The following is a 17,079-nucleotide window of genomic DNA, read 5'->3' as shown; positions in this document are numbered from 1 at the left end:
TGTAAATTTTCTTCTATATTTTATTCTAAAAGCTTGTAATGTTTGATACATTCTAAAAGATGTAATGTTTGATACATTACATCTAGTCCTTTGATTTATTTTTAGTTACTTTTGTATAAGGTGTGAGAGATGTCTCCAGTTTCACTTTATTAACACATTGTGGTGTTCCAGTACTATTTGTTGCTAAGACTATCTTTTTTCCATTGATTACCTTTGCCTTAGTTGGCAATATTTTTGTTGGTTTATTTCTAGACTGTTTATCTCATTCCACTGATTTGTGTCTATCTTTTTGACAAAACTGTTGATTACAGTAAGCTTTGAAATAGTTCATTTTTTGTGTCAACTTGACTGAGTCAGGGGATAACCAGCTATCTGGTTAAACATTATTTCTGGCTGTGTTTGTGAGCGTGTTTCTGGATGAGATTAGCCTTTGAATAGGTGATCCTAGTAAAGTAAACTGTCTTTCCCAGTGTGGATGGCATTATGCCACCTGATATTCAGGGTCTGAATAGAAGAAAAGGCAGAGGAAGGGGGAATTTGGGCCTTTTTTTCTGCCTCACTGCTTGAGCTGGGACATCTCATCTGGTCTCCTGCTCTTGAACTGGGATTTACATCATCAGTTCCTCTGGTTCTCAGGCCTTCAGATTCAGACTGAATCATACCACCAGCTTTCCTGGGTCTCCAGCTTGCAGATTACAGATCATGGGACTCCTCATCTTCCATAAATGCATGAGCCAATTCAGTCTATGTCCTTGAAAACTGCCCCACTGCAGATTAAGGCTTTTTTCCACTAGGTGAAATAAAGAAGCTTGTTAGACAGATTTCCCTTCATCCAGTGCCCTCTCCTCTTTAAGTTACAACACATTGGCTACACCTAAGTGCAGGGGTGGGGATGAGGGTATAGTCCTCTTGTTTGCTGAGAAGAGAACTGTATTGGGAAAGCTCTAGAAGTGTTTGATACATACATAAACAAGGCATGGTTTTTGCACTTAATTTCACATTACATTTTTCCCAGAAAAAAAGGAATGTATAGGCATCACGTAACTGTACTAGCTGGAGTCATTCTTCCTGATTATCAAAGGTAAACAGTTATTAATCCTATACCAAGATGTCAAGGAGAAGTACTTTTGGAACACAAGGAATTCTCTGGGAGTCCTTACTACTCTCAAGCCCAGTGAAAAAGTTAATGAAAAACTATAGTACCTTCCTATAAGCTGGATGACTAATTACCAGGCTCATTTAGGAATTTGCCTTACCAAGTAAAACATAAGGGCAGCTGAGGTGCTGACTGAAGACAAATGGAGCATAGAATAAGAGTAGTAAAGAATGCCAAAAATGCTGTCATGTATCCATTGACAAAAGGAGCTATAAAGCCTTTAGGTATTTTCACACTTGCTCTGTTACGTAAATGTATGTGTGTGTGTGTGTGTGTGTGTGTGTGTGATCGTTTATTTTTTCCTTCTTTCCCACTAAGATGTATTAATACTGATTAACACTATAAGTTAAGCTTATAGGATAGGCTATCAAAAAATGATTGTGACTGAGCTGAAAAGAACATTACTCAGGATGGATACAGTGAGTTTCAGATGTTTGTATTCTACTTGGGAGCTACAGACAATAAAAAAGTAAAAACATATACAGTTTGTCAGCTACTGATAAGTGCTATGGAAAAAATTAAAGAAGGAAACGGGGATAGGGTGGGATTAGGTGTGGTAGCCATTCTAACCTTGGTGCTGAAATCTATCAGTATTCTGTTCAGCGATCCACTGTCTGCTACCTGGCCATATCCCCCTGGGAAGTGTGAGCCACATTACTAGCTTCATGTGGTGAATTCTGACTGGTCCACACCAGTCATGTGGTCCCTTCTTCTGTAGCTGATTAGCTCAGGCAGCACCTGAGACTAGGCCAAGTTTTGGCAAATGAGACATAAGGGGGAGTTTTCTGGAAAGGCATTCCTTGATCTCCAAGAGAAACGCACTGTTTCTTCCTGCCTTTAACTTGTGTCTGCATGGACACTTGAAACTGTGACCAGCATGGGGGGTAAAGCCTGCTGTGAAGGAGAGCAGAGGCAAGAAGACTGAGGGCAGTGGAGCCAGAGCTCTGATCACCCTGCTCTGGAACCTTTCTGCCTTTGATGTCCTGTTTGGGGAGATAAGAAATTTATATAGTGTTTAAATTTGTTGAGTCAGCGTTTTCTGTACCTGCAGTCAAAAACATGCTGAGTGATTCAAGAAGTTGGTCAGAACTTCAAAAAATTATTATTCTACATTTTCCCCCAAGTTTTTCTGAGGAAAGAGAGTGCTTGGTAGGCAGGATAACCCTGGAAAGTGGCCATGGGGCTGAGGCGGGTTTTGGAGAAATGCAGACACTGTTGTCTGATGTGAGTTTCACCTGATGAGGGATCAGGATCTTCTTTCATATAATTTGGGAAAGCAGATGTTGGTCCCTTTAGATCTGTTAACTGACATTTAGCATTCAAAACTGTCTCGTGATTCACAGAAGTGTTGTAAGATATTATGCAGATTTTAGCACAGCATTCAACCATTCAATCAGATTTTTATAAAGACTTTTTTTTTTTTTTTTTTTTTTTTTTTTTGAGACGGAGTCTTGCTCTGTCGCCCAGGCTGGAGTGCAGTGGCGGGATCTCGGCTCACTGCAGCTCCGCTCCCGGGTCACGCCATTCTCCTGCCTCAGCCTCCCAAGTAGCTGGGACTACAGGCGCCCGCCACCTACGCCCGGCTAATTTTTTGTATTTTTAGTAGAGACGGGGTTTCACCGTTTTAGCCGGGATGGTCTCGATCTCCTGACCTCGTGATCCGCCCGCCTCGGCCTCCCAAAGTGCTGGGATTACAGGCGTGACCCCGCGCCCGGCCTTATAAAGACTTTTTAGATAAAAACAGAATCTATATCTCTAATGTATGTATTAAGGATGAACCCCGGCTGGGCGCAGTGGCTCACACCTGTAATCCCAGCACTTTGGGAGGCCGAGGCGGGTAGATCACTTGAGGTCAGGAGTTCGAGACCAGCCTGGCCAACACGGCGAAACCCTGTCTCTACTAAAAATACAAAAATTAGCTGGGCATGGTGGCAGGCACCTGTAATCCCAGCTGCTTGGGAGACTGAGGCAGGAGAATCGTTTGAACCTGGGACGTGGGGATTGCAGTGAGCCAAGACTGCACCACTGCACTCCAGCCTGGGCGACAGGGTGAGACAACGTCTCAAAAAATAAAAAATAAAATAAAATAAAAAATGAACCCCTCTCTGTCTTACTCTCTGAATGAGTGAGTCTGAAATCCAGTGGGTTTGGCCAAGCAAGGTAGATGTCTGTGTATATATGGGGGAAGGATGTTTAGTGACAGTTGCCTGGAGTGGAGTGAAGAAACCTAAGCAGAGTGAGAGAGAGGCAACAGTGGAGGCCCAGTGAGAGTACTGCAACTTGAATAGGGTGATGAAGCTGTCTTCAAAGGGGGACAAGAGAACAGCCCTGTGTTAATGTTGGAGCCTGACTGGAGTGAAGAGATTATCCATGTGACAGGTAGGCCCATAGCACAGACATTGGCACTTAAGCAGGGTGAGGAGAGCATCCACATAGAGGTGGTAGCTACAAGATGATGGTCATACACAATCAAGATTGGTCCAATGATTAATATAACAAGGATTATTAGAGTTGCCCAGAAATGTGGTCGATCAACTGTGGCCATCAATTACTAAATAGCATAAAAATATCTCAAGGAGAGAAGGCAAAAACTGAGGACTCCACATACAGAAACCTGTCCTTAACATCCTACAGAGAATAATGATAGGCCAAGAAATATTTTTTTGCCCACTGAGTTCACAGTCTCAGATCCCCAAATTGTTCCTGAGTGGAGTTAGATGGATTATAAGAGACCTCCTTATTCATAATAGGCCCAAGTTGGCCTAGAGAGGGAGCAGAATTGGTTTAATGATTCCACTCCAGACTTTCCTGGGATTTTTCACTTCTTCCTGCTCTCCATGCCCTCTTATCACAGTTGCTTGACTGGAAAAATAACAAGTGGCAAGAGAGATGCCTTGCCTTTTTCTTAGAATTCCAGACTCACTTCTCAAGTCACTGAGCTTCTGTTAGTGCAGATATTGCAATGACACTTCCACGTGCATGTGATCGGGACATTTAATGGATCAGCTGCTCAGAGCACTCCTCCAAAGTGGCACTTCCCTTTTTCCAAATTTGGGTCCTGAGGTGAACACCTCCCCAGAGGTATTCATAACAACGTTGAAGTTGTAGAGGTGATGCTCCTTCAGAGGCCAACAAAGAAAAGCTTGGAGGCATATTACATTTTGGATTCCAGTTCCTACATAACTATAAAATAAATTCTGCATCCTTAGACTAAATCAACATAATTGAAGTTAAGCATGGTTCAGATTAAAGAGTAAGCTCATGAGTTTGTTAAACCATTACTTGAGAATGCAGGAAATGAACAAGACATGCAGTCTATGTATTCCAGTTGGTTGTTGGTTTGATAAGCAATTCACAGGCAGTAGATCAACAGGCAGGAAAATATAATAGTTAATATGACTGCAACACTTATTTTGGAAACTTAGATGGCTCTTTGAAAATCTTCTTTTCCAACTAAAATTACTGATATTCATATTATTCAAAAATGACAACCTCTGTGCCATCTGAGATTTGTTGATTCAGCATTTCTAAAAATAGTTCTTAGAATAAAATAGAGTACTTAGCTTGACACTTAGCTATTGACAGTGCCCGGATAGCCTACTTAAATGTATGCTTTCAGAACACTGCTAAACACCTTGCTTTCAACACCCCATTCACTTTCAACACCTCATTCCTCACCCATGACCCCACCTGCTCTCATTTCTGCAAGAAAACAATAGAAATTAGAGCAGTTGGGGTCATGAGTGAGGATATCACTCACTTCTGATGATCATTTAGTTGTTAGGGGTTAAAAATGCCTCTACTATTGCCCTAGAGATGTCCTCCAAATCACTGACACCTACTCTACAAGCTTTGAGCCTGGTGCTTTAGATTTTTTGTCAATAGATAGTGTGAATATATCAAGACTGCCACTAGACAAAGGAAGTTCTAAAATGCTATCAGTTTTGTCCATGGATTTCAACAATCCATGGGCAAAAATGTGATACAATACATGACTTAGAATCAATTAAATATTGGTATTTTAGGACATCCTCTTAAGTGCATGCCAGAATTTCACACAAATTGCACTACAGGGGAGAAACATGCCTGTTCATGGATATTTCAAAGAAACAAATAAAAAAAAAACCTTTGAGACATTTTTATGATTTAGACTGTGTATTATCTTTGCAGTCATATCAAACTAAAGTTCTTGAAGCTGAATTTCTCAGAGAACAGGTGGAAGTCATTGATGAGAAAAACATATTATTAATATTATTTCTCCATTCTTTGACCACAGAATAAGTTGAGGAAGATGATAGAATAAAGGAAGTAGAAGTGGGCCTATAGACAAGTCAGTTTTGTAAGAATAAAAGGAAAATAAGTTTCAAATCTAAAGAATCGATGGAGAAACTAGTATACATATTTATTAAATCAATGCATATAAGAGAAGCAAAGAGATTAAATGATTGAGCAATCATTTGATAATGTGAGCTTTTTAAAAGACTAAATGAAAGAAATACCACCTTTTTCTGTTGAGAATAAATCATAAGTGTGTTAAATGTGAGATTATTAACATAAATAAAATGTATAAAATAAGTGCAGCAGAGAAAGTTTTTAGAAACTTTTCTGACAATGTTACCCAATAAGAAATATAGTATTATCGTGCAACTCAGGACATACTCAGAAACACAAACACATATAAATAAAATAGAATACTTACAAAACAGTTACCTTTATTTCAGAGTGAAATACACTCTGAAATTTTTAATTTTATTGAATAAGGCCTTGATTTATCCTATTATATATCTCATTTAAAAAATATATTGTTCATATCAATTCAAATTGATTTCACTAGTGAGACATAATTAGTGCTTTGGAAAACTCTTGTTTTATGGTCTTAGAGCCCTCCAAGTTACCAAAGGTTCCTACAAGCTTGGCCAATGGGAGAACTCTACCTCCATCAGCTGGGATGATATGTTCAAGAATTAGGGAAGTGACCAGAGTTAAGCCAATAAAAGTCCTTCAGGAGATTCTCTGATCTGGAGGCTGAACCCAAATACCTCTTCTTCTCTTATAGTAAAGATATAAGGATGACACTCCAGACTGCCAGGCAAAGGGCTTTTCTCTCCTAGAAAAGACTAACTGAAGGAACGTGATGGGCAAGAAAACAGCAGAAATTAGAGCCGTTTGGGGTCATGAGTGAGGAAAGAGTAGAGAAAGAAAAAGGAAAGGAGAGAGAATGAGAGGGAGAAAAAGAAGGGGAAAAAAGAAGGGAGAGGAAGGAAAGGGGGAGGAAGAGAATGAGATTAAAATCTTGAATTCTAGACCATGAGATGTCTGGAGCTGTTCTTGCTACATCCATTGTTCTTTCTGTTTGGTGAGCTCCCTAACCCAGTTGCTTTCTTTCCTGAAGTTGGTTCAATGTGGCTTTCTGCCTGAGGCATCATATATGCCTGACATATGTAAGACACAACCTTTAACTTGATACAATGAAAACCCCAATCCCAGCATGATAGCCAATAAAATAAACTTGGCCCTTCGTGCTGACACATCATCACTCTTCACTTTATGAAGACGTGAACCTTGTTCTTAATCTTAGTTTGTCATCAGAAAACATACGAAGAATAAGGGCTAGGTAAAGAGGAAGCTTGAAATCCAGTAAAAGAATGGATTTTTGGCTAGGCGCAGTGGCTCATGCCTGTAATTCCAACACTTTGGGAGGCCGAGGCGGGCGGATCACCTGAGGTCAGGAGTTCGAGACCAGCCTGACCAACATGGAGAAACCCCGTCTCTACTAAAAACAGAAACTTAACCGGGTGTGGTGGCCCATGCCTGTAATCCCAGCTACTCGGGAGGCTGAGGCAGGAGAATCGCTTTAACCCGGGAGGCGGAGGTTGCGGTGAGCTGAGATCGGGCCATTGCACTCCAGCCTGGGCAAAAAGAGTGAAACTCCGTCTCAAAAAAAAAATAAAATAAAATTTAAAAAAAAGAATGGATTTTTGCTCTTTGTCCAAAAAACAAAAACAATTAAAAACAAGCTTATGGTTGCTTTAGTTTGAATGATGGTGTTCCCTTCAAAATTCACGTTAAACTTAATCCTTATGGTGGTGGTATTGAGAAGTGGGACCTTTTGGGAAATAATTAGGTAATGAGGGCTCCACCCACATAAATAGGATTAGGTGTCCTTACCAAAGGGTTTGAGGGAGTGAGTTTGGCCCTCTTGCCCTTCCACGTAAGGACAGTGTTTTTTCCCTTTGGAGAATGCAGCAACAAAGCACTATCTTGGAAGCAGAGACCTGGCCTTCACCAGACACCAATCCTGCCAGCACATTCATCTTGGACTTCCAGCCTCCAGAACTGTGATAAATAAATTTCTTTTATTCATAAATTATACAGTCTGTGATATTTTGTTATAGCAGCATGAAAGGGACTAAGACAATGGTTAAAGATAGGCATGGCTAGTCTTACTGAAGAGGAGATTGGAGGCACATCAAAGCATTCCTGACTTCATCTTCATTGGCCCACTTCTCCTATATTTGCCTTTGCTGCTATGAATCTATTTGAGGGCAGAAAGATGGCTTCTTTCCCTTCAAGTCTTTTTTATTATTATCTTATAATTTTTCTAAAATTGGTCATGACTGCTACTTCCAAGGTCATCCTACACAATAGAAATAGAGGTAACTGACTATTATATTTCCTATCCTGAATTACATTCAGCTACATTGTCAAGTCAAAACCAACTCTTATCACACAATGTCCATCATGTATCACCCTACTTTAAAAAACATCATGCCAACAACTCAAGAGAATAAAACATATTTTTTTCTAGTTACATGTACCAATCTAATGTCCTTCTTTATTTGACATTACAGTTAAAATTTCCTCAATGAGTCTCTTTTCCCCCTTGTCACTCTGCATAAAGCCAGGATGCACAAAAAGCCATAGCTGCAGTGGCAGGTAAACTAGAAAACATATGTTTATTGGGACTGGGAGACAAGATAGGTTTTCTCTGTTAGCCCATGTTGAGAGTGCATAAATACCAGTTTGTACTTGCTTTGTTTTAGGATTCAAATGTACAATATGTACATGACCTGGAAAGCCATGAAATGAACACAAAAATAGTTAGTTTGGTGATACTTAGCAGAAACAAACAGAAATCATCTCAAAAGTGTTAATCGCTAAATTCCTAGCCATTAGAGCACCCTCAAGTAAATTTCCATTTACTATGTTCTCACCATCAGAAATTATAAAGCAAATGTGGAAACAATCTACCATGAGTTAAGGAAATTCAAATAGCCATCCTCATATTTTCAGATAAGTGAACACAAGAAGAAATAATAGAAATGATGACTATAATAGCAAAAAGAGTGAATAGGAATAGACCAAACAGTTATGCATGAGATGTGTAAAGAAACCTGATAATTACTGTCACTGAAGAAAACCAAAACCTTAACATGTGAGTTAAGTAGTAAATTAGAATAGCTGAACTCATGAACTGGAAACACTGGTTTAGACAGCTCAAAAGTAAGGCAGTGATATAATGATGACAACAAGGATCGAAGCTCGCTCTACTTTTTGATCCACCAATGATTTGTACACAGATATTTTCTTCCCCTCTCTTGAGGAAGGATTATATTTCCCTTCTTCATTAATATCAAAATTGTTTATGTGGTTTAATTTGACTACTGTAATTTGAGCCAAAATGATGTGTCATTTCCAGTCAAAAACTTTTTCAATGCTCTCTCTTTTCTGTCATGAGACTTATTATGTTCTAGATGGAAGCTGTCCTATCAATCCAGTGCTATTGTGAAGATGATGTGGAACAGAGCAACAGCTGTCCATTGCATATGTAGAATGAAGGAGGTTCTTGTAAACTATTGAGATTTGGGGGATTATTTGCTACTGCAGCATAACCTACCCTGTTCTGACTGGTTTAAAAAAAATTAGTACTGGAAGTCAAATGCTACCACAAGAGAAACAAACGAACAAACAAAAGTCCAAAATGCGTGTAGTGTTGGTTTCAGGACTTATCAGGAGGCAAAGGAAAAAAAATTTTGGAGGCTAGAAGCATAACCTTTGAAATACATTAAACTTTTGCCCAAAGCAACTTGGAAAGCTGATAATATATCTAATGAGCTTCTTGCTTTGGGTGAAGTGGTTGAGATATTGGCTGTTAGTAGTGTGCCTTTGTTACTATTGGTTGCATTTGACAAAGTTCTCCAAAAATATAGGAGGCCCAAAAATAATTGGCCAGTTTCAGAATATCTAGACTTTTAGGTTTGGAAGAAAAAAACTTCATCTCAATTGAGAAATGACTTAAGAAACAAAAAACTTGTTAAAAGTCATTCTCATGACAAGAACTAAAGTCAAAACAATGAGGTTGTTCATGTTTGTTGTTCAAACCTCTGAATTAAGATAGTATCTAGTAAATACTTTTGATTCAATAAAATGGCTCAGAAAAATGAGACAAAGAACATGGCTTTCCCATGGGAATCTGATAGGCTTGAAGTGCCCAAAATTAAGTCGAGAGAAAGATTTGAAGAGAGAAGAGCACATCTTCAAATTAATTGGGAAGGGAGGGGTGGCAAGTAAAGTTAGCATGCAAAGTTGGTTGTAAGCAAGGCAATGTAAAGGGCCTTGAGAGTTGTACAAATCAGTCTGGACTAAAGGAGACCATAACTTCAGGACTCAAAAAATATATTGGTTTACCCTGGTATACCAATTTTTAAATTTTATTTATTTTCAATTTTTTTGGCAGAAGATGGACAGTGAAAGATGCTCAGTTCCTAAGGAGGGGCATATCCAATGTCCTCTTCAAATGTGGCCAAAAGGAATAATGGAAAAGAAAAGATTCCCCAGAAGGTGGAGCCAAAGGCCATGGAAAACAACGAGCTGTTCTGAGGGTGAAGAACTATGGACTAAGCAAGGAATCAGTCAGTACACATCCAGTGTAGAAAAACTTTACAATATCTGCCCTGGATGATTTCATAATTTCCTCCAACAAGTGAGTATTTTCTGTTTCCTATTTTTGTAGCTATCCTATTCCTGTTCCACTGTTGTACATGCGGTTGTGCGGTAGAGTAGAGGTGGGGCAGACGTCATTTTATTGGTTTCAGAACAAAAGGACCCAAATCCAGACTTACGCAGAGATTGTCATGAGATCCTGCACTTCAGTGCTGATGCTGTGACTGGATAGGACTTTTGGGTTTTCTTTCTTGGAGTGGGAGAGGGGCACCCATTGAATATATTTTGTGTGTGGAAAGGAGCATGAACTGAATATTTGTGATCAGAAGTTTGGATTGTGATGAATTGTATTTTTAATTACAAATATCTCTGCCCTTCCTTCTGGGATGGTGATACTTTCCTAGGCAATTGGCATCAGGCATATCTATATGACTTACTTTGGTCAATAAAATGTGAATAGAAGTCACATGAGTCACATCCACAATAAACTTTTACCATCAGTTCATGGCTCACCAAATTATTTATTTTCTCTCCATAATGCAACCACCCATCTTCCACATAGAATCCACCTTACTGACCTAGATCTTGACAGGAAGATGACATGGAGAAGGGCTACAGCCAATCTCAATGAATGTAGTGTGAACAAGATATACATCTTTATTTTTGTAAGCCACTGAGATTTTCAGTTTATCTGTCACCTCTAGGCTAATACACCTATGCCAAGTCTTTTGACTTCCCTCCTCATTTTTTTGTTTCATAATCATTGGGTGCATATCCAGAGTTCACATCAACTCTCAAATCAGAAAATCCTTATGTGTTCCTGGCCAGAAATGTGCATCAAGACCACATTAGTTGCAAGGAGGCTTGAAAACTGAGTTTTTTGCTTTTAGAGCTCTTTTTAAAGTACATACAGGTGAATAAAGAAGTAGGGATCTTAAAATGGAGTTTGGCCCAGACAACAAAGAAGTGAAACATGCCACATTACCCTTGAAAACTAATTGGCTGTTACTTGTCTGCATCCAGTTTGTGCCCCATCCTCACTGAAATACAGTTCATACTGCATTATCTTCACTGCCCCCATGATTTTTTCATGGAGCAATGACAGGAGAATTATTTTAGTTTTTTGTTAAGGTAGTACTCCACCTCTGGTACCAATTTCTGAATGAGTCAGAGTAAGCTAGACTTTACAGTGTTAACAAGTAAACTGTACAAAATCTCAGAGGTTTAAGAAAGCAAATGTTTATTTCCTACTGGCATCACCATCTAATGCAGGCTGTTCAGTGGAGGCATAGAAGGTGACTTCAAAGGATGATGGGAATGAGCAGTCCAGTAGCTCAGGAAAAGAAAAATGGGTTTGTCAACATATAAGACTGTCTTTTCCACAAGAGGTAAAAGACACATAACAGTGCCTGCCACATTATTTAACAGCTTTGCTCCTCAGTTTCCTCATCTGTCATGTGGGATGATAATTGTTCTGGCCTCAGAGGATTGTTGGGAGAGTTAATAAATGAGTTAACATATGTAAAGCACTCTTAACAGGGTGTTCACCATATTAAATGCTATATGTTTTATATTATTGATTTCTTTCTTTGCTATTAACAATGTAGCAATGAATATTCTTGCATATACTTCAGCCCACACCAGTGCAAGTGTAACTACAGGTGAAAATCTCTTGGTTGAATTTGCGGGTCAAAAGTATCTGTGTTTAAATATTAATGGACACTTCTAAATTGCTCTTCACAGACGGCTGCAACAAATTACACATCTATCAATAATTTATTTCATTGCTCATTTCCTTATGTTCTAACAGTGTGTTATAAAACTTTTAGATTTCTGAAATCCAAATGGTGAAAATATTTTCTTTTACTATACATTAACTTAAGTGTCTTTCTGTGAGTTGTAAAATTTTTCAGTCTTTGTCTATATGTCTTTATTTTACTCCATCCTATAGTTGTAGTTTAGCAGTGCATAGAATTCTAGATTGAAAAATGTTTTGCCACAGCATTTTCAGGATATTTTTCCATTATTATGGCTTCTATTGTTGCTAATGATAAAAACTATAAATGGAATTCATGACACAAATTAAAGGAGAAAAGAACCATATGCATCTACTAGTTGCTAAATGGGTAGGTAGATGCTAATATTTTATACTTATTTTTAATTAAAGCCTGTTAGTAACATGGCAGAAATATATATCAAAGAAAAATGTGTATTATATCTGAGAAATTCAAGTCTACTATTATCACTATTTTAAATCATCACTTCAGACTATTATATAATGTATTTAGAGAAGAGGTTTAATTACTGAAACAAACAGAGTAAAATAATCATATGATTTGTGGAGGACAGTGGCTCTTCTATGGCACCCTGGCAACTTTGCAGATCTGCACATAGGCCACACAGGCAAGACTCAGTTGCACTCTGATCCATTATGGTAGAATGCCCTGTGATCCTCCCAGAATCCCCTGTATGGCAGAATTCCCTGTAATATATCATATTATAATTATAATTATATTATATTTATATGTGAAGAGGCAGTTTTGTGAGGAATTGTCACAAGGCCACTTATCATCAGCCTCCCCAACTAGATGGAAGTTACTTCTATTGTGGGAAGCTGCTGTGAGGTAGTTTCTCATCTATCACTTCTCTGGTTCCAGTGAGGCATAGGACTTTCTACATGTGCCCTTTGGGTAGACGCAGGCTATAAAATTGCATGGCTGTAGTGTGGAGTTGGCTCCTCAATGACAGAACAGCCCACCTCTTGTGTCATTTGTCATTTGGCCCTTCCAGTTTCATGTCTTCTTTTGGAACTAGTCAAACAGGGATGTAACATCATGTTGATTTTGTTTTTGCTATTTGCAAAAAAACTGTTTTTGCTATTATGCAAAACAGTTTTGCATAAACTGTGCTATGGACTGAATGTTTGTTCTCTCCTAATTCAGATATTGAAACCTCAACCTCAATTGTGATAGAATTAGGAGGTGAGGCTTTTGGGAGGTAAATAGGCCATGATAATGGAGAGCTCATGAATGGGATTAGCATCCTTATAAAACAAGAGAGAGCTTGCTTTCTCTCTCTTTTTCTGCTCTCTGCCATGTGGGGATACAGGGAGAAGACGGCCATTTGCAAGTCAGGAGGTGGGTCCTCAGCAGACAGTGGATCTCCTGGTGCCTTGATCTTGGATTTCTCAGCCTCTGGAACTGTGAGAAATACATTTCTATTTTTTAAGCCTATAGTAATTTTTCATGGCAGCCCAAACTGATTAAGACAAACTGTCTAACATTTGGATTCATTGTCTCCTTCCTGGCTAAATATGTAAAAATGTGGCAAGCTAGCCTAGCAGCTGCCCCTGTGCTGCTGCTTAGAAACTACTTACCTGCTTGACAGATTACTGTCTACCTGGAAAATCCTAGAGGAAAACCTGGAAAACTGAAATGATAAAATTTAGCAAAGCAGCCAAATACAGTATTATAACACAAATATCAATAGCATTCATTCATAGAAAAGCAGTTAAAAATATAATGTAACAGTCTTGCATTATATTTATACACAGATATGTTAATAAGCAAGAAAAATAACTTAAAATAAGCTCCATGAAATGTGTAAAGCCCCATGAAGAACACCATAAAGCTTTAAAGAAGTACAAAAAGAGTTTTCATACCTCAAAGCATCTAGCTTCTTAAATGGCAAATCACAAGTCTATACAAATGTCTGTCATCTATATTAATCTAAAAATTCAATGCAATTCTGATAGAACTGTCTTCAGAAGTTGAAAAACAAAACATTTGTACAGTTCAATTGGAATCAAAGATGATTCCAATACTTTCAAAGGGCAGTTCCCCTACTGTGGCCGAAAATATGTTAAAACGAAGACACAAGATGATGGCAATTGAAACCAGAAAAAAAAATAAATGCAACAATTATACAACATGTGTCTAACCTCAATAATTAGATAAATTAATTCAGGCTATTCACATTAAAAGCAATGGGGCTGATAAGGTTTGGCTGTGTCCCCACCCAAATCTCACCTTGAATTGTAATAATCCCCATGTGTCAAAGGTGGGGCCAGGTGGAGATTATTGAATCATGGGGGCAGTTTCCCCCATACTGTTTTCATGGCAGTGAAGAAGTCCCATGAGATTTGATGTTTTTGTAAGTGGGAATTCCCCTGCACAAGCTCTCTTTTGCCTGCTGCCATGTAAGACATGCCTTTGCTTCTCGTTTGCCTCCTGCCATGACTGTGAGGCCCCCCCAGCCATGCTGACTCCATGAATTAGTAACACCACCAACAAATTATTAGCTAAAACACATTAACTAGAACTAACTAGAACTCTAATTTTAAAAACCAAGGTAGTTCTGAAACTCTCTTTGTGAAACACTGTGAGTCCGTTAAACATTCTTCCTTTATAAATTACCCAGTCTCAGGTATGTCTTTATTAACAGCATGAGAACAGACTAATACAGGGGCCTTCACTAAATCATGTGGTGAACTGAGACCATTTTTGGCCACATAGTATGTTTTTTGAAACACAAACATACAAGCATGTGCTATCCCTCATTAGGAAAAATCATAAACAAAATAGACCTACTTTTTAATATTTAAGGTAGAAAGGAGAAAAGTTTTACTAAGTCAATTATATAGGATCCTGAACAATTCACAAAGAGGTAATACAAAGGGCTATCCATCAGAAATATGAATACATTAAGAGGTAGCTATTAACAGAAAATGTTGATGGCTGTGAACAGAGCCTTTGTCTTATGTTCTTTGAATCCTCAACAGCAGCTTATTTGGATAGAATTGGTGTAGTTAATAATGGCCTTGATGTCCTCAGATATAGCATGCCTAATCAATTCCCTGGGTAGGAGCAGGTGCACAGATCATTAGCTCTCTCTGGAGGCGATAGTGCAGTATCTGTTACAATGGGCCTAGAGAGAGTCTTGTCCTACTGTGTGCTTGACGATATCCTTGATAAAATAGTTCTCAAAACATGTTGCCTTGTATGAAATGCCCATGTTGGAGCACACTTGTTTCAAGACCTTGTTAAAGCAGATGGAGTAGTTCTCTGTAGGGCATCTCTCATGCTAATCTTCTGAGTTTTGGTAAAATTTCTTTGAGTTGTTTTTGGAGATGGCAAACCAATGTTCTTAAAGTCAATTATGGCAATAGCAAACTACTTAAAGGAAGACCCAGGCATAGTAGATTCAGCCTCACACTACTTAGAGATAAAAAGACTGGCAGCCAGTACCAAGTAGGAATTATTTATAGTTGCCATATTCAAAGAAAGCATAGGGACAACCCAATCTCTCAGTGGACGAAAACTAAATAATGCATGTAAATGAGCTGATCAAATTCCACTCTGATTTAATAGTGTTCATATTTGGCATGAACCACTCAGAAAGCAACACCAGACAGCCTAGTACCCGAGTGTGGCCTGTACCAAGAGTACTTTGAAAAGATTCTTCCTACAGCACCTAAATTTTGTAGGTTTCAGCTTCAACTACTTGAGAGAAACTAACCTCCTCAACCTAAGTCTATGAAAAATGACACTGGTCAAGTTTGGGTCATAAATCCAGCCACCTACAATCAACTGCTGTCAGAAGCTGCCTTTTTGAGTGAACCCTAGCTTGAGCAGGAATTATCTGACCTGGAAAAGAAAAGTGATCCTGGAAAACATGGCACTTAGATTTAGGGACCAGTGTCTCCAGGACTGATTCAAAATCTTAGTAAATTGGAAAAATTATTTTAAAAATTATGGAGAAGGAGTTGGACTAGCAAATTAGGAAACAGATTAAACCAAGATACCATAAGAGGTTGAGAACATTATGAAGATGATATTTAAACTTCAAACAGAGCACAAAATGATATTTAAAGACTTTAATGAAAAAGCAAAGGAACAGAGGCTGTCACTTCATAAGTGGTACATTAGAGCACATGCACACAGTACTCTATAATCTTAAAAACAAACCACTAAAGAAAGCAAACCACATAAGAAAACATGTTAAAGTTGAGAGAAATTTAAAATTTCTCCCCCACCTCCTGCTGTGTTAATGTACTACTTGATTGGGTGATTCACAATCCATGAATTATTAATTACTAACACAACCAATATATTATTAGCAAAAACATTAACTAGAACTCTAATTTTAAAAACCAAGGTAGTTCTGAAACTGTCTTTGGTATATGATGTTCAAGTCTGATAAAAGGAACTCACTGGCAGCTAGTGTACTTGGTATTGGCCAATAGTGTTCTTGGCCAGCACCCCAGGCAGTAGGAAGCATTTGGCCTTTTGAACTGCCTGGAGGTATGGTCAATCATCTGTTACAATGGGCCAGATGGGAGGCCTTACCAGTGATCCACTCGAGGATGCCATTGCAAAAGGAATTTATGATTCACATGGCCTTGGGTCAGATGCCAGTGTATCTGTTTCAACATCCTACAAGATTACTAGTTGTTCACTTAGAGTCTCTGAGCAGCAGAACTTCTATTTCTCTCGTCTTTCTTGATCTTAACCCTGGCATCCTGTTGGAAAATATTCTGATGCAATGGAGCTTCCAAGTTTGCTATAAGGAGGCAGGCCACCTATGGAACAGAAAATCTCACAGGCCAAATAAAGATGATAGATATGCATGGTTGGTTAAATAAATTTAAAATCCACTGCAAGAAGCAAGGGAAAAAGATAGCATAATTTTACATACTTAGAATAGGGAGCAAGCAAGATGGTAGGACCATAGTGCTGACCTGGAAGTACAGAATGTGCCAACATCCTGTCTTTCCCTGCCACATTAACTTTCCCAGCTAATGGTATGATTACAAGGACTAGCACTGAGATTCCAGCAAGGGATCCCACAGACAGGAAGTGCCGTAGGAGAGGATAATGACACACACTTGCTCTATGAGAAAGACATGCTAAACAGCCATGGGTTTTATTTATTTCTTTTTTTAAATTGACAAATAAATCTTGTATATATATATATTTATG

At 38.6% G+C, this 17,079-nt stretch overlaps 1 pseudogene, besides 1 other annotated feature; it reads right to left on the bottom strand.

The window, feature by feature from the left end:
- Positions 1,940 to 2,529: an enhancer, noted in NCBI's record as "NANOG-H3K27ac hESC enhancer chr6:25898344-25898933 (GRCh37/hg19 assembly coordinates)". NCBI's record gives its function as "activates a minimal SCP1, AML or CMV promoter by ChIP-STARR-seq in primed H9 embryonic stem cells {active_cell/tissue: H9 hESC(primed)}" and the evidence as "EXISTENCE:reporter gene assay evidence [ECO:0000049][PMID:30033119]".
- Positions 14,894 to 15,226, bottom strand: H2BP5 (H2B histone pseudogene 5; annotated as a pseudogene).

Source organism: Homo sapiens, chromosome 6 (genome assembly GCF_000001405.40).
Source record: "Homo sapiens chromosome 6, GRCh38.p14 Primary Assembly".
In the NCBI taxonomy this organism is placed as follows: Eukaryota; Metazoa; Chordata; class Mammalia; order Primates; family Hominidae; genus Homo; species Homo sapiens.
Note: the sequence above shows the minus strand (reverse complement) of the source record. Positions and strands in the feature narration are given on the sequence as shown.